Raw genomic sequence first — 19821 nt, 5'->3', positions numbered from 1 at the left:
TCGTAAAAGTGAACAGGACAACTCAATAAGTTTTCAGTGAGAAAATAAAAAGGGAATATTTGCAGCCTCCCTAATTTATCACCAAAACAGTGACATCATGGTATGCCATGGCTTATACTATCCAGATAATGAAAAGTAGAGAATATTTAGTAAGAGTTTCAATAAAGCTATTGAACTTTAGAAACCTAAGAAGGACTTTAGAAACCTCATGACTTTCTCTTTGGATGTACATGCACACATATAAATCCTCATGGCCCAGACCTACAAGCGAATGCTTCACAAATGTCTGGGTGCCCTCCCCAAAAGTAAACAATGAGAACGGTTACTGTTTACTGATGATGCTAATAATAATATTATTACTAAGTACACTTCAGAGACTGATGCAGGCTAGGCTCTTGGAGATATCTCATGTAACAATTTAGTTATTCATACTGAGCAGTTGTCATTATGCTCTTTTCCAGCATGAGAACTCAAGAGTCTGGCAGAAGTTTGACTTGCTTAGGTAACACCAGTCAACTAATAATGAGTGGTGAACCAAAACTGAAACAGAAATCAGCTTGACCCCAAAGTCCTGGTTACTACCTGGTTAATCTACCACCTGGTCAATCCAGATAGTCTCTCCAGGAAGGACAAATTGTGTAATGAATAATTTTTCTTCTATTTTGGTAATTTATGAAGTTGACATGATACAAGTGAGATATTGCAAATAATCCATTTTATTCCTATTTGACCTTTTCTGAGATGCATTTAATTATCCACGTACACAAAACAATGCTATTAGAAACACATTCTATACATACATTTCCTTTGTTTCTTGTGTAACATAGAAAACTCTATTTTATCAGCTAATGAACTAAAAGGCTGGCTTTCTCTGGAGTTTAAACACACAGATTTTAAGTTAATCTTTTGAACCAAAAGAGATTATTGTCTACTTGACACTATATACGCTTTTCAAGGGGAATATATATATACACACACACACACACATACACACACACATATATATTCCCCAGTAAGATATTGAATATTAAATTATTTTACATTCATACAATATGTGGTATGTGGTAGTAAAAAATAAGTTAAGTATACAAGAGACATAAAATGCATTTATAATTGTGGCAAAAAACTGTTAGATAGTATTAATATGACTCAGTGTAAAGAATGATCAGTTTAGTTTTCTTCTTTCATTTACTCTGCTTGTTGATACAACTGTTAATTATTTTATTTATTTACCTCCAGGACTATATATGCATATTCATTTGGAAGGTAGAAGGGAAGAAGGGAATTTTGGGTTTTTTGGGTTTGTTTTTTTTTTGGCTTTTCTTTTTATATTCAATTTTATTGTTATTTATTTTTTATTTTATTACATAAACTGGTAAATTTTTTATAATAAGAGCAAATAATAGAAACATAATAATAAATATTTTAAGAACAAAAATATAGACCTAGAGAATATACTTTTAAGTCTCTGGAAAAGCCGATATAAAAACCTTCTAAATATTCCCGACAAAGTTATATCAGCTGGAAAGCCTTTATTTTTATAGGACCACAGTGCAGCAGTTATATTAACAACATGGCAAATTCCCCGTGTAAATGGATCTTCAAATTATCTAATAATACTCTCGAGGACATTATACTGTTTTGTTGTTTTTGTGAGTCTTATTATTACTTTTCACTAATATTCAACAAAGTTATACCTTAATACCCAATAAAAATTCATTGGAATATCCACCAGGACCTTTTTGCAACCAGGTGATATATTCAGTCTTTTGAATGACTATGTTATGCAAATATGTTGCCTTATTTGTTCCCTAATTGTTAAAAGCTATAAAGTAGCATAAACAGGATGATGTAAGAACTGGATATATGTACAGCACGTTGCAAATAAAATCTCAATGAGTTCTCAGATAGTAAAAGTAAAAACCTGTTACTTTTCTAAGCCACCTCAGAAAATTAGTTTATGTATATCATTCTATTAATATCTCAAAATTTAGTAACACCTTAAACAATTAGGGTTAATTTTCCTTTTATAGCTCTGGGAGACTGAAAGCAAAATAGATGACTAAGGTCCTCTACAATCTCCCTACTTTCTTTCTGTTTGCCACAGATCAATTTATCAAAATACAATTTATCGGTCATATAAGAAACTTCACTATATGGAAGTTGTTCCTAGAGTTTATCCTAGTTTGCAAGGACAGGAGAATCAGACTCATTTAAACTGTAAGCTTCTTATCTCATTGAGGCTATTAGAAGACATTTGAATATGCATGACTTTGATTTTTCTAAGCTGGTGGAAAGATAATGATAATGTGGTAGAAATAAAAATCACATCTACCCTAAACATTATTTGTAGTTGATTGTAATCATGCATACATTTACTTTATAATTTTAAGATTGTATACTAGTTTTAATAAAAGGTATTAAATTTCGTGCCTCATTTTTATCTTTACATTTTACGAATGGGACAAAAAGTGCCATGTAATAAAAATAAATATGAGTCGAATGCTGAAATGGTGTATCTATATAACAAAAATATTACATACATTTTAAGGACTTATTATTAATCAGGAAGATTTATCAGTCTTTTATCTTCTTTCACTTCATATAATTCTATCTATGACTTAAATACTGTTGTCATATTCATTCAGCACTCAGGGAACTGAAATTTTTTGATATTAACTTATGTCTCAAAGGCCATGACACAAGGTTACAAAAGCATCATGATTCAAATCCATGTCAATTTAAATCCTGTGTTAGAAAAAGATGCTGGACTAAGACAGAACTGTACTCAAATTTCATCTGAGACAAATGACTTCAATGCTATATCTTAGTATCTTCAACTCAAAAATGGTCATAAAACAACTGTAATAAGATAATGGTTTTAAGCATCTAGTGGAGTATATGGAATATAGAGTGCCTCTGTGTGTGTGTGTGTATGCGTGTATATATATGTTCATATATATATATATGTTTATATATATGCGTGTATATATATGTTTATATATATGCGTGTATATATATATGTTTATATATATATGCGTGTATATATATATGTTTATATATATATGCGTGTATATATATATGTTTATATATATATGCGTGTATATATATGTTTATATATATATGCGTGTATATATATGTTTATATATATATGTTTGAAATGCTAATTTGTATACTTCATTGGTACATAAATATTAACAAATTCAACACAAAGCGTACATTTATGGCATCTGGGTATTGTATGAATAAATATATTGATTTAATTGGTGGTTCAATTCTTTCCTCCTTAAAACACATTGTTCTCTAGGCTTCTATGCTACCCCATCTTTCCGAACCCCATTCACTGCACATTTCTTCTTTTTATTTATAGCCTCCTGATCCTCTACTATTAACTCTAGATGTTTAATGCCCAGAACTGTGCCCTATGCCCTATACTCTTCTCTACGTTAATCTCTGCCAACATGATCTTGTTACTCCATGAATTTAACTTTGCAAGGTATCCTGCTGACTCTCATGCCAATACCTTCAGTCCTGACCATTCCACTGAGCTGAGACTAGTTTAATTGGCTGCAAGCTCCACATTTCCTTTCAAATCCATTATGAATAGCAAACATTTACTAAATTTGAAGACAGAGCTATTTATTTGTAAATAGTAGATTTATTTGTTACTTCCTACCTTTTCTGAGACTTTGTGAGTTGTATTCTTCTTTTAATCCATCTATCATAAAATTTAACACATAGCCTTAGCTTTTATATAGGCTATATTATATACATATATATGTGTGTGTGTGTATATATACACATATATATAATATAGCCCATATAAAATGTATATATACACATTATATACATATATGTATATAATATAGCCTATATAAAATGCTATATATAGCATTTTATATGCTATCATCTATATATATAGCATTTTATATGATATATATGTATAGCATTTTATATGCTATCATCTTTGTCTTCACTACCATCATTTCTCACCTGCACTTCTGCAGTAGTCCTCAAACCAGTCCTACATTACCTCTTTTAATCTTCTTGGTGCCCTATATTGCATTCTCCTCATGGAAGCTAGAATGACTTTTAAAATCATTTTATGTTATACACTTCTCAACCCACTGCAGTGTCTTCCTATTTCAATTAGCATGAAATCCATTATCCTGAGTTATATTAACAATATGGTAGAATAGAAAGCCCCAGGCTCTTCTTACATCCCATGGAGACATTATTTCAACAATACATGGACCAATTCTCTTTCAGATAAATTTAGAAACTGATTAAGAGGCTCCTCCTCCATATCAGGTGAGTGTGAAACTAACTGAATCTAAGCTGATAGGAAAGTGTGGCACCCTCTCATCATAATACCTCGCCCTGGTAAAGCATCATGTGGTCTGTAGGAAACTGTAACCTCCTGGTTTCACACCTATTAAGGAAGGAGAGATATTGGACCATGTGTCCAACATTCTAGCTTGTCATGGAAGCTACCTGAGAGACTGATTTTTGTCTCACTTGTTTCAGAGCACTGATGGAATTGGATGTACTCTTCATGCCTAATGGCTCATGAGAAAATTAAATAACCAGGCAGTTTCCTGCCTGCTCCAGAAGACTTGTGCCACAGAAGACAGAGGCTGATACAACTCAGTGGCCTCTGCCTCAAGGGATAAAGAGAAGAGTAAAGAGTATGTCAAATATTCTACCCTTATCAAGGGGCTGCCTAAGGGTCTGCCTTTTGTATAGCCCAGTGAAAGCACTGATGGGCCCACCATAATCTGGATGCATGGGAGCCAATGAGAACAAAAGAGAGTCAAGCATTGTGCTGGTTCTTCAGCGGATGTGCGGTACACCATATAGACACCAGAAAGAGCAAGAAATTATGAGATCTCAAAAAAGGGAAATCAGAAGATTCCTCTAATTAGGAATATACACACATAAGTCAAAAGACATGTCTACAGAGAAAGTTTGAGTGATCTGCGGAATCTTAGTTTAGTTGGAGAAAGTCTTTCTCTGTAGGAAACCATTTTGTAAAGACTGGAAGAGGTGGCTGACTTTCAAATACGCAGATACCAACACAAAGGTAAAAGGAAAATGAACAAACAGGAAAACAGGGCTCAATCAAAAGAGGCATATAAATCTCTAGATACTAACCCTAAAAATGGAAGTATATGAAATATATAACAAAGAATTCAAAATAACCATCTTAAAAATGTCAAGAAGCTCAGTAAAACAATGCATAAACAAAATAAGAATATCAACAAAGAGATTAAATATATAAAAAGAAGCAAGAGTTTGGGATCTGAATAATACAACTAAACTGAAAATTTTAGTGCAAAAGTTCTATAGCAGATTTGAACAAGAATGAAGAATCAGATAACTTAAAGACAGGCCATTTGAAATTATTCAGTCTATGGAGAGAATATAAAACACTGAAGGAAAAAAATATGGAACAACATCAAGTAGATCAGTATGCACATTGTGAGATTCCAATAAAAATAAGAAATTGAGAAAAGATCAATGAGTTTACTTAAAGAAATGATGGCAGAAAACTTCCAAAACATTGGAAAGGGAATAGCTATAATAGATGCAAGTAGCCCAATGAATTTGAAATAGTTTAAACACAAAACTTGCTAAGATACATTACAATCAAACTACTAAAAGTCAAAGATAAGAGAATTTGGAAAGAAACAAAAGAAAAGTGACTCATCACATGAAAGAGAACTTCCACAAGACTATGAACAGATTTCTAAGCAGAAATCATAAAGGCCAGAAGTGACAGGATAATATATTAAAAGTGCTAAAGGTAAAAGAAAAAGAAAAAAAATCTTGCCGACAAAAAATATTATATCCAGCAAGTCTGACCTTCAAAAGTAAAGAGATGAAGATTTTCATAGACTAAATACTGAGGGAGTTCATTACCACAAGACCTGTCTTACAAAAGATTCCAAAAGGAGTCTTTTATTTGAAGTGAAAACATGCTAAACAGCAATTTGAAAATATATGAAAGTACAGCTACCCCTCAGTATATATGGAAGTTCAGTTTCAGGACCCCTGTTTATACCAAAATCTGCATGTAATCAAGTCCAGCAGTTGGTCATGTGGAACCCACATATATGAAAGATGGCCCTCCCTATATATGGGTTTCACATCCCCTGAATATTTTAGCTCCACAATGGGCTGAAAAACGTCCACTAATAAATAGAACTTTATAGTTAAAAATCTATGCTGTTCAAGGGTCAACTGTATTAAGCTTGATAGTAAAGGTAAATATATAGGCAAAAACAGAATGCTGGAATGATGTAACAGTGTTGTGTAAATCACTTTAAATTCTGGTATGAAGGTAAAAGACAAAAGTATAAAAATAACAAATATATTAATTGGTACACAACATAAAAATGTATTTGTGACATCAGTAACATAAAGCATGTTAGTGTGGGTGAAGTAAAAGTGTAGAGTTTTTATATTTAATTGAATATAATTTGTTATCAGCTTAAAATAGATTGTTATAACTATAAGAAGGTTTCTGTAAGTCCCATTGTATGCACAAAAAATGATACTGTGGAAGACACATGAATAAAAAGGAGAAAGAAGTCAAAGAATGTAATTAAAAGAAATTTAAAAAAACACAAAGCAAGGTAGCAAGAGAGGAAAACAGGGATAAAAATAGCTACAAGATAGACAGAAAACAATAACAAAATGGCAATAGAAATTTCTTCCCTCTCAATTATTACTTTAAATATAAATGGATTAAATTTCCAAATCAAAAAATAGTGGCTGAATGAATAAAAATAAGCTCACATTATATGCTTTCTACAATAGACTCACTTTAGATTTCTGGACACAAATCAGTTGAGAGAGAAAGGATAATACATATATATATATTCCATGCAAATGTTAAGCGAAAGAGAGCAAAGGAAAGCTATACTTATATCATACACAATATTCTTTCAGTTAAAAACTGTAGGAAGAGACAAATAAGGGCATTATATAATTATAAATGTATTAACTCAGCAGAAAAAAAACAATTATAAATATATATGCACCCAACATCAGAGCACCTAGATATATAAAACAAATATTGACAGAACTGAATAGAGAATAATACAATAATAGTAGAAATTGTCAATACTAAACTTTCAATAATGTGTAGAACATGCAGACAGAAAATCAATAAAGAAACAGAGAACTTGAACAACACTATGAACCAAATGGCTTTAACAGACATATATGGAACATTACACCCAACTGCATCAAAACACACATTCTTCTCTAGTAGAAATGAACCATTTTCCAGGATAGATCACGTGTTGGGCCACAAAACAAGTCTACAAATTCAAGAAGTGTAAAATGATAGCTGGTGTCTTTTCCAAATACAATGGAAGTTAGGTAGAAATAAATAGCGAAATAAAAACAGAACATTTGTAAATATGTAGAAATTAAACTGCACATTCTTGAACAACCAATGGGTCAAAGAAAAAAGTCAAGAGAAATTAGGAAATATCCTGGGGTCAACCAACAAGGAAACAGAATCATTTATGTTTATTTGTTATTTTTTTTTAATTCTTTGAATTATTCCATGAACTGGATACAAAGAAACTATCTTAACAACTATAATTTGGATATATATTTTTTAAAAGAAGCTGAAAATGTTTAAGAGACAATATTCATTAACATCTTGGTAATATTTAACACTGTGCATGTCTTCTTAGTAAGGGCTAGTGGTTTTTATTCATGTAATGTACAGTATATGTATAATTTTAAAATGTTTCAAACACCAGAAGTCAATTCTGGGCATAAAAAGCAACAAATAAATTTGTTTGAACTGTGTTGGATAGCCATTGAATTGATGAGGGTGTTTACAAATCAGGTTTAGGGAGAAGTAGGAAACAATGGAATTTAGACAGCTAGAAATTATATCAAGTACTTGCCACTAGAACAACATAGCTAGAACCCTTTTAATTTATGCCACTGGATTCTGTCTGTCATATCTGCAGAGCTCACCATCACTATACTTGGGTCTTGAAATAATTGCCACTGCTGTGGAAAATTTCTCAACTGTTCCTACATCTTTCCATCATTTGAGCATATCATTTATGTGCCTCTGTCACTGATGAAATTTCTGATGAAAGGATATAGAAAGAAAGTATTTGGTTCCTGTATTAGTCCATTTTCACACTGCTATAAAGAAACACTCTCAAGACTGGGTAATTTATAGAAGAGAGAGATTTAATTGACTCACAGTTCCGCAAAGCTAAGGAGGCCTCAGGAAACTTACAATATTGGTGGAAGGAGAAACAAACATGCCCTTTTTCACAAGTCTACAGGAGAGAGAATTGCAGAACAAAGGGGAAAGAGCCCCTTATAAAATCATCAGATCTCATGACAACTCATTATCATGAGAAGAGCATGGGGGACTAGTCCCCAGGATCTAGTCACCTTCTATGAGGTCCCTCCCCCAAAATGGGGATAGCAATTCGGATTAGAATTCAAGATGAGATTTGGGTGAGGACACAGAGCCAGACCATATTATTCCACTCCTGACCCCTTGCAAATCTTGTCTTTTTCACATTTCAAAGCACGATTGTACCTTCCCTACAGTCCCTGAAAAATCTTAATTCTTCCCAGAATTAACTCAAATGTCCAAGTCCAAAGTCTCATCTGAGACAAGGCAAGTCACTCCCACCTAGGAGCCTATAAAATCAAAAGCAAGTTAGTTCTTTCATAGATACAATGGGGATAGAGTCATTGGATAAATGCTCCCTGAAATGGGAATAGTTTTGAATAAGAATCAATCTTTGAATTCTTCTCCAATGGGAGAAATTGGCCAAAACAAAGGGGCTACAGGCCCCATGCAGGTCCAAAATCTAGCGGGACAGTCATTAAATCTTAAAGCTCCAAAATAATTTCCTTTTACTCCATGTCTCACATGCAGGGCACACAGATGCAAAGGTTGGGCTCCCATGGCCTAGGGTAGCTCCACTCCTGTGGCTTTTTAGGATACAAGCCCCTGCTCTGGCTGCTTTCACAGCTGGCATTGAGTGTCTTTAGCTTTTTTGATGCACAGTGCAAGCTGTTGGTGGATCTACAATTCTGGTTTCTGGAAGACGGTGGCTGTCATCTCACAGCTTCACTAGGCAGTGCCCCAGTGGGAACTCTATGTCGGGGGTCCGACCTCACATTTCCCTTCTGCACTGCTCTAACAGAGTTTCTCCATGAGGGCTCCACCCCTGCAATAAACTTCTGCTAGCCATCCAGGTGTTCCTATACATCCTCTGAAATCTAGGTGGAGTTTCCCAAACCTCAATTCTTCACTTCTGTGCACCCGCAAGCCCAACACCATGTAGAAGCCACCTGGTGCTTCCAAGCACTTGGTGGAAGGCTCGGTGCTTGCACCCTCTGAAGCAACAAGCTGAGCTGTACCGTGGTCTCTTTTACCCATGGCTGAGACGCAGGGTACCAAGTCTCAAGACTGCACAAAGCAGCAAGGCACTGGGCCTGGCCCAGGAAACCATTTTTTTCCCGCCTAGGACTCTGGGCCTTAGATGGGAGGGGATGCCATGAAGGTCTCTGACATGCCCTGGAGACATTTTCTCCATTGTCTTGGTGAATTACATTTGGCTTCTTGTTACTTATGCAAATTTCTCAAGCTGGCTTCAATTTCTTTCCATAAAATTAGTTTTTCTTTTCTATCACACGATCAGGCTGAAAATTTTCCAAACTTTTATGCTGTGCTTCCCTTTTAAACATAAGTTCCAATGCCAGACCTTCTCTCTCAAGTTCAAAGTTCCACAGATCTCTAGTACACGGACAAAATGGCACCAGTCTCTTTGCTGAAACATAGCAAGAGTGACCTTTTCTCCAGTTCCTAAAAAATTCCTCATGTCTATCTGAGACTGCCTCAGCCTGGACTTCGTTGTCCACATCATTATCCATTATCAGTGTTTGGGTCAAAACCGTTCAACAAGTGTCTAGGAAGTTCCAAATTTTCCCACATCTTCCTATTTTCTTCTGAGCCCTCCAAACTGTTCCTACTTCTTCCTGTTATCTAGTTCCAAAGTCACTTCCACATTTTTGGGTATCTTTATAACAGCACCCCACTCTACTGGTAAAATGTATTGTATTATTTTATTTTCATGCTGCTATAAAGAAATACCCAAGCCTGGGAAATTTATAAAGCAAAGAGGTTTAATTGACTTACAGTTCCACATGGCTGGGGAGGCCTCAGGAAACTTACAGTCATGGCAAAATGGGAAGCAAACATGTTCTTTTTCACAAGGCATCAGGAGAGAGAAGTGCAGAGTGAAGGGAGAAGAGCCCCTTATAAAACCGTCAGATCTTGTGATAACTTACTCACTATCAAGAGAACAGCATGGGGGAGCAGCCCCCATGATCCAATCACCTCCCATGAGGTCCCTTTCCCAAAATGGGGATTACAATTCAGATTACAAATCAAGATGAGAGATAGGTGGGGACACAGAGCCAGACCATATTGGTGCCTAAGTGACTAGTGGTGAAAGTCAGGGCTCGGTTTATCAGAATTCACATATTGGAATGTTCCATGAAAGCAGAAGGGTCTTTGAACACTGCTCAGTCATAAAATGGAAAATGTCTACCACATATTTCTATTGTATTGGTCTCAATCACTGGTTTGTTTTCTTATTATTTGCATTTCAATTTTTTCTAACTTATGCAGAGATGGATTTCTTGCAGTAATGCAGAAAAATTTTATATTTGAAGTTATGTCCTCTTATTATATAGTAAATAAAATTATCTCCATAAGCGCTGTAGTGATGTTTACATTTGTTCTTTTATTCCATAGCACAGTATATATCTATTTTCATAATTGTCATAATTGAGATTCGCAAACATATAAAGCATATGTAGATCAAAATGCATTTATATATTTTTGGAATGACTCACAATCAGTATTGTAAAGAAAACACTCATTTTACATATCTGTAATGCATTGCAAAAGCCACTTTCTTCACCTTGTACTCATAAATTAAGCTTTGTTAAACAACTTAGCATGAAGGGCAAAGATGTTAATTTTATTTGAAAATCACACCAAATGGTGTGAAAGTATTAAAATAACAACACCTTCTATGTCTTCAACAACTTGGCTTCTAAGAAGAAAAGCTAGATAAAGTTTCCTTTTTTTTTTTTTGAAATTCATGATTTGAAAATTAAGAATCTCTTGGGAAATAAAAAGTTTAATATAAATTTATTAAAATAATTTATTACAAATGCTGGAAAGAATATTAAATACAGTTATTCCAGTCACAAATTTTAATAAATGAGGGCAGTGAGACTGAAAAACATGAGATGGTTCACATAAATTAATATAGTAAGTAAACTATCAAAAAATAAAACCTGTGATTTCTGACTCTCTTTCCAATGCTCTTGCCATTTTGAAGCTAGAATAGTATTGCTCTCTCTTATATTTTAGGAGAGTTTTGAAGTTGTTTTGATTTAAATCAGAGGGAAGGATACCTTTGCTTTCAGAAAATATTTGAAAACATAAATTTTATATTTGTCAAATGATAAAAGTGAAATTCCAATTACTCTAATCCTACACAATTGTTGCACAATGGTGAAGTAAGCACTATTACTAACCCTCATTTAAGGAGCGAAATACTCAGAGAAAAATGCCGTGCTCTTGAATCTAATGTGACTTTTTTCCTTCGTGACCAAATCTGTGTAGCATCTTTCCTCAACTGTGTAAGAGAATCATGCTGTAACCAATTATTTGTATTCAGTATTATAAATTAATTATACTGTCATGTCAATTTGTTATTTATTCAGATCTACATTTCAGTTTGTGCTGATTTGCAGGGATGAATTGCATTCAATGAGAAAGTGATTTATTTAGTACTTTTTATTAAATGAAATAGCCATATTCGTGAATCAATGTAATCTTCCTAAACATATATTCAAGCACACATATATAATACTACAGCAAAACTTGATGCAAAATTTATATTCTTTAAATAAGCTTATAATTTCAGTCATTCTTTTTATTTTATTGTATTTTTTGAGACAGAGTTTCATTCTTGTTGCCCAGGCTGGAGTACAATGGCATGATCTCTGCTCACTGCAACACCCATCTCCTGGGTTCAAGCGATTCTCCTGCCTCAGTCTCTCGAGTAGCTGGGATTACAGGCGTGCACCACCATGCCCACCTAGTTTTGTATTTTTAGTAGTGATGGGATTTCACCATGTTGGACAGGCTGGCCTCAAACTCCTGACCTCAAGTGATCTGCCTGCCTCAGCCTTCCAAAATGCTTGGATTACAGTCGTGAGCTACTGCACCCAGCCCAAATTTCAGTCATTCTTTTCTCTCCCATATCCTGTCATTAGTTTTTCAGAAATGTTTTTCGTGTTTTACTTTGTTGCCCAATCATAGTATAACCTACACTCATGTCTTCAACGTGTTGTTTTTTTTTTTTTCTTTTTTTTTTTTTGAGACGGAGTCCCACTCTGTCTCCCAGGCTGGAGTGCAGTGGTGCGATCTCAGATCTAGGCTTACTGCAAGCTCCACCTCCCGGGTTCACGCCATTTTCCTGCCTTAGCCTCCTGAGTAGCTGGGACTACAGGTGACCGCCACCAAGCCCGGCTCATTTTTTTTTTTATTTTTTTATTTTTACTAGAGACGGGTTTCACTGTACTAGCCAGAATGGTCTTGATCTCCTTGCCTTGTGATCTGCCCACCTCGACCTCCCAAAGTGCCGGGATTACAGGCGTGAGCCACCCCACCCGGCCTTCAACTTCTTTTAATTTTAAAAATCAAAACATTTTTCCTCTGTTTATTTACCGCTATTTTTTTCTTTCTTTAATCCTGTCTTTAGATAATTGCTAGAATTATGTGTACTAGAAATCAAGCCTAGTAATGTAATTCCCAAACTTGAAAATCTGCCTTGTCTGTGTGTGAAGTTCATACCCGGGGTAGATATGCAGGACCTATCAAAATTTACACAATCTATAATTCAGCCAATTGACATTGTCACTCACACCCAACTTTACCAATCTGTTCCCCAAACCTGGAGTAATTTTAAGTTGCATTCTTTTTGTTTTCAGCCACCTTTTTCTTTGATCTTTTATTTTCTTCCACTTTACTTACTGAGCACTTTAAGTACCTATTTGATTGCTGTTATGGTCTGTGACAATTTTTCAGCCCTTGGGATATTTTGTCAAAATTTGATGAGTCTTATACAGTAGGTAATTCATGTGTAGTATATATAACAAATTTGTATTATGTCTAACAAAAACAAGAATTATACATATATTTGTCATTGAGAATTAATGGTACAGACAGGAAGGTTCATGTAAAAATGCATGTAGACATATAGGTGTATAGGTTTGTGGATGTGTCCTAGAGATTTTGCATATGTTCTTTGCCTATCAGTATCACATTGCAAAATAGTATCATTTGTATTCAGAGCAAATAGTTAAAAAAACCGTGTTTTGTAACACATATAATTTTCTCTTTCCATTAGGTTGAAAATGGTTGCTTGTGTTCAACTACTGTGAAGAGTTGGAATCAGACAACTACGGCTTTGATTTTCCAAGTGGTTCAGAATGTAAATATGATCTGACCTTTCCCTGATGGACAGTTAAATCATGGACACGCTAAACAATTTACTTTGGACTGTCCTTCCTAAAGATGCTCTGGCTTCTCTCTTGAATGCTCACTAAGCTTTCGTAGCTGACAAGGAAAGGAAGGAAAACTGTGAACTGGAAAGTTATCTTACAATGAAAATTACTAGCACATCTTGCATCTGTCCAGTCCTAGTGTGTCTCTGTTTTGTGCAGAGGTGTTATGGAACTGCTCACCACAGCTCCATCAAGGTGATGAGAAACCAAACCAAACACATTGAAGGTGAAACCGAAGTCCATCATCGTCCCAAAAGGGGATGGGTATGGAATCAGTTCTTTGTTTTAGAAGAACATATGGGACCAGATCCTCAGTATGTTGGAAAGGTAAGATTTTGTTTATTTTGCTGTTTTTTCTATCCTGAGAAATTGTGGGGTAAGATGAGCTCATGTTGGAGAAATATTTGAAGAGATAGACAAATGAAGCAAATTATGTTGTAGAGTGAATTACGCTATAGAAACTACTACTTATACTAGAGAGCTCAAAATAATTATTGTAAAAAGAAAACATTATTCATCATATTATACCTCTCTAAACATTGGCCCATATGTACAAGACTGCATATTCATAACAAGCATATTACTTTTTCTGTTCTCTCTTGTAAGTTGGAAACACTTAATGGAACACACAATTAAGTAATTTTTTCTTTATTACCTTGAAGGTATATTGGAATTCACATGTCACTTATTCGCACACTGACATTTACTGCTATTTTCACATATTGCTCCTGCACATGTGGCTAAAAAGAAGGCACTCTATCATGAAAACATCACACATATTTTCTAATATCATAATTAAATATTAGAAAATATCTAATATTCTCTATTAATTTTTAGAGATGTACTTTTAGCCTTTAAAATCATATGAATATTTTTCAAAACCCAAAGTTAATTTTCATAAAAACATTGAAATCTTTTAATATAGATTAAGTATGCACTGGATATACAGGCTTTGAAAAAAAATCACAATAGAATGAAGTTAACAAAATGATCAGTTATTTCAGGTCAAGTTCCCTTTCTCTCAAAAATGCAGACACGAAAACTTAATGGCTGATCAAACTGTTCAGGAAATTTTGTGGTCAGTAACATGGGAGAGTTTAAGCATGTGTCATCTAGGCTCTAGGATTGAGAACGAAGTGGGAATTGGAGAGGCCTTCTTCTGATTAATTACTGGTTTTTGGAAGTAGCCACACTTCAGTTTGTTCAAAACCTATGGGAGAAACAGCAAGCACAGCAGTAGAATATCCGTGACTGCAGGCTCAGTGGCTTCTATCCCCCGATTGATGATTTATTCTCACTTTAGCACTGTTAGTACTAAAAAAAATAGTATTCCATCTAAGCCGTGGCGCTTCCCTAATGTGTAGGCAGTACAGGATCACAAGCCATCTGTTCCACCCCTTGTCCAACAGGGACTGGGTTACAGCTGCATTTTCTATACAAGGCAGGAGCTGTGGAGTCAGAATATAGAACATAAAAAAAGATCTAAAACAATTGTATCATATTCTCATATGCATATTAAAATGAGACAGAAGAACTATCTTCATTGTATGCTTTTTTCCCTACCAAGTATTTCATAAAATAAATTTTTAAAAATGTAATAACATCAAAGCATAATATATTAGATTAGTAGAAATTTACCTGGGTTATGAACTTCAAAATCCTTTTTTTTTTAAAAAAATTATACCTTTAAGTTCTGGGATACATGTGCAGAATATGCAGGTTTGTTGCATAGGTATACACGTGCCATGGTGGTTTGCTGCACCCATCAACCCGTCATCTACATTAGATATTTCTCCTAATGCTATTCCTCCCCTAGCCCCCAACCCCAGACAGGCCCTGGTGTGTGTTTTTTCCCACTCTGTGTCCATGTGTTCTCATTGTTCAACCCCCACTTATGAGTGAGAACATGTGGTGTTTGGTTTTCTGTTTCTGTGTTAGTTTGCTGCGAATGATGGTTTCCAGCTTCATCCATGTCCTTGCAAAGGACATGAACTCATCCTTTTTTATGGCTGCATAGTATTCCCTGGTATAAATGTGTCACATTTTATTTATCCAGTTTATCATTGATGGGCATTTGGGATGGTTCCAAGTCTTTGCTATTGTGAACAGTGCTACAATAAACATAGGTGTGCAAGTGTCTTTATAGTAGAATGATTTATAATCCTTTGGGTATATACCCAGTAATGGGATTGCTGGGTCAAATGGTATTTCTGATCCTTTAGGAATCACCTTACACCTTATACAAAAATTAACTCAAGATGGATTAAAGACTTAAATCTAAGACCTATAACCATAAAAACCCTGGAAGAAAAGCTATGCAATAATATTCAGGATGTAGGCGTGGGCAAAGACTTCATGACTAAAACACAAAAAGCAATGGCAATAAAAGCCAAAATTGACAAATGAAATCTAATTAAAGTAAAGAGCCTCTGCACAGCAAAAGAAGCTATCATCAGAGTGAACAGGCAACCTAAAGAATGGGAGAAAATGTTTGCCATCTATCCATCTGGCAAAGGGTTAATATCCAGAATCTACAAAGAACTTAAACAAATTTGCCAGAAAAAAACAAACACCCCCTTCAAAAAGTAGGCAAAGGATATGAACAGACACTTCTCAAAAGAAGAAATTTATGCAGCCAACAAACATATGAAGAAAAGTACATCATCACTGGACATTAGAGAAATGCAAATAAAAAACACAGTGAAATACCATCTAATGCCAGGTAGAATGGCGGTCATTAAAAAGTCAGGAAACAACAGATGCTGGAGAGGATGTGGAGAAATAGGAACACTTTTCCACTGTTGGTGGGAGTGTAAATTAGTTCAATCAAAATCCTTTTTCTGTATCCTTTCCATCCTTGAAATTAGCACAAGAAAAGAATCATTAAAATTGCCCTTTTTGGAATAAACCAAGAGGAAAACTATTTTATTATTAAAAATATTTTATGATGCATATTTCTTAAAATTTTAATCTAACTAAGAAACAGAAACAAAATTTTCTGGAAAAGGGAGGGAAATTCAGACAACTTGTTTTTCAGGCTCGCCTAGTTTTGGTAAAAGATGAAGCCTCAATAGGAAGATCAGTTCTAAACAATCTTTCTGGAATTGAATGAACATATGGTGCCAATGAACATATGGTTGAGAGCTCCTCACATATCAGGAGGCGATGGAGGTTTGTGATGCTGTTCAGGTTTGTGGCGGTTCTGTGAAACTGTTGTCTATTCTGTTGTCTGTAGTATGGATGGACAAATGCACAGGTATAAAAGGTCAAACATGAAAGTGTGTCCTCTTATTCCTCATCTGACCCAGGGACACCTCGCTCATAGTCTTTCTACTTTATTCTAATTTGCCTTTATGGGCAATTCTAACTTAATTGTACAGATTTTTTTTCTCCCACACACCCCCTGTAACATAAATGCTTAACTAAAAATTAAAAACTAAAAACTGCAAAGCTCAGCAATTACTATATGCTTAAAATAATTCCCTTCTGTGCCATTATTTTAACTTGCTTAGAAAATTAATTTAACCTCACATTTATAAATACATTCATAGTGAACCAATTATTTTCATAGTACTCTTTTTTTTCTTTATTTCTTCTAAAAAAATACAGAGAAACAAACAAACAAAAAAAAGGGATACATGTGCAAAACGTGCAGGGTTGTGCCATGGTGGTTTGCTGCACCTATTGACCTGTCTTCTAAGTTCCCTCCCCACCCCCCAACAGGCCCTGGTGTGTGTTTTTTCCCTCTCTGTGTCCATGTGTTCTCAATGTTCAACTCCCACTTATGAGTGAGAACGTGGTATTTGGTTTTCTGTTCCTGTGTTAGTTTGCTGAGGATGATGGCTTTCAGCTTCATCCATGTCCCTGCAAAGGACATGATCTCATTCCTTTTTATGGCTGCATACTACTCCATGGTGTATATGTACCACATTTTCTTAATTTAGTCTATTATTGATAGGCATTTGGGTTGGTTCCATGTCTTTGCTATTGTAAATAGTGCTGCAATTAACATACATGTGCATGTGTCTTTATACTAGAATGATTTATAGTCCTTTGGGTATATATCCAGTAATGAGATTGCTGGGTCAACTGGTATTTCTAATTCTAGATCCTTGAGGAATTCCCACACTGTTTTCCACAATGGTTGAACCAATTTACATTCCCATCGACAGTGTAAATGTGTTCCTATTTCTCTGGGGCCTTGCCAGCATCTACTGCAATCAAATTAGAACTCAGAATTTAAAAACTCACTCAAAATCATGCAATTTCAATTTCATGCAACCTGCTCCTGAATGACTCCTGGGTAAATAATGAAATTAAGGCAGAAATCAAGAAGTTATTTGAAACCAATGAGAACCATGAGACAACACACCAGAATCTCTGGGACACAGCTAAAGCAGTGTTAAGAGGGAAATTTATAGCACTAAATTCACATATCAGAAAGCTAGAAAGGTCTCAAATCGACACCTTAACATCACAATTTAAAGAACTAAAGAGGCAAGAACAAACTAATCCAGAAGCTAGCAGAAGACAAGAAATAACTAAGATCAGAGAAGAACTGAAGGAGATAGGGGCATGAAAACCCTCCAAAAAATCAGTGAATCCAGGAGCTGTTTTTTTTGAAAAAAATTAACAAAATAAATGGACTGTTAGCTAGACTAATAAAGAAGAGAGAGAAGAATCAAATAGATATAATAAAAAATGATAAAGGAGATATCACCACTGTCCCCACAGAAATACAAACTACCATCAGAGAATACTATAAACACCTCCATGCAAGTAAACTAGAAAATCTAAAAGAAATGGATAAATTCCTGGATGTATACACCCTACTACGACTAAGCCAGGAATAAGTTAAGTCCCTGAATAGACCAAAAACAAGTTCTGAAATTGAGTCAGTAACTAATAGCCTACCAATAAAAAAAAAAAAAAATCCCAGGACCAGATAGATTCACAGCTGAATTCTACCAGAAATATAAAAAGGGGCTGGTACCATTCCTTCTGAAACTATTCCAAACAATTGAAAAGAAGGGACTCCTCCCTAACTCATTTTATGAAGCCGGCATCATCCTGATACCAAAACCAGGAAGAGACACAACAACAAAAAAATCTTCAGGCCGATATCCCTGATGAACATCAATGAGAAAATCCTCAGTAAAATACTGAGAAACAATCCAGCAGCACATCAAAAAACTTACTCACCCAAATCAAGTTAGCTTCATCCCTGGGATTCAAGGCTGGTTCAACATATGCAAATCAATAAATGTAATCCATCACATAAACAGAACCAAAGAGAAACACCACATGATTATCTCAATAGATGGAGAAAAGGCCTTTGATAAAATTTAACATCCGTTCATGTTAAAAACTCTCAATAAACTAGGTATTGATGGAACATATATCAAAATAATAAGAGCTATTCATGACAAACCCACATCCAATATCATATTGAATGAGCAAAAGCTGGAAGTATTTCCTTTGAAAACTAATACAAGACAACGATGCCCTCTCTCACCACTCCTATTCAAAATAGTATTGGAAGTTCTGGCCAGGGCAATCAGGCAAGAGAAAGAAATAAAAGGTATTCAGATAGGAAGAGTGGAACTGAAGTTGTCTCTGTTTGCAGATGACATGATTTTACATTTAGAAAACCCCATCATCTAAGCCCAAAATTTCCTTAAGCTGGTAAGCAACTTCAGCAAACTCTCAGGATACAAAATCGATATGCAAACATCACAAGCATTCCTTTACACCAACAATAGGCAAGGAGAGAGCCATGAATGAACTCCCATTCATGATTGCTCCAAAGGGAATAAAATACCTAGGTATACAGCTAACAAGGGATGTGAAGGACCTCTTTAAGGAGAACTAAAAACCACTGCTCAAGAAAATAAGAGAGGACACAAACAAATGAAAAAACATTCCATCCTCATGGATAGGAAGAATCAATATCATGAAAATCGCCATATTGCCCAAAGTAATTTGTAGATTCAATGCTATTCCCATCAAACTACCATTGACATTCTTCACAAAATTAGAAAAAAACTATTTTAAATTGCATATGAAATCAAAGAAGACCCCATATAGCCAAGAGAATCCTAAGCAAAAAGAACAAAGCTAGAGGCATCACATTACCTGACTTCAAAGTATACTACAAACCTATAGTAA

At 34.9% G+C, this 19821-nt stretch overlaps 1 protein-coding gene across 20 annotated transcripts in view; it reads left to right on the top strand.

The window, feature by feature from the left end:
• The window catches only part of CDH18 (cadherin 18), a 1104418-nt gene that overhangs the window by 722975 nt on the left and 361622 nt on the right, over positions 1-19821 (top strand). For all 20 annotated transcript variants that reach the window (XM_005248228.5, NM_001349562.2, NM_001349556.2 and 17 more), the window contains one exon: positions 13497-13980. In XM_005248228.5, the coding sequence (XP_005248285.1) occupies positions 13753-13980 (228 nt within the window). In that variant the 5' untranslated portion in view covers positions 13497-13752. The remainder of the gene's footprint in view (positions 1-13496; positions 13981-19821) is intronic.

The sequence above is a fragment of the Homo sapiens genome, chromosome 5 (assembly GCF_000001405.40).
Source record: "Homo sapiens chromosome 5, GRCh38.p14 Primary Assembly".
Taxonomy (NCBI): domain Eukaryota; kingdom Metazoa; phylum Chordata; class Mammalia; order Primates; family Hominidae; genus Homo; species Homo sapiens.
Note: the sequence above shows the minus strand (reverse complement) of the source record. Positions and strands in the feature narration are given on the sequence as shown.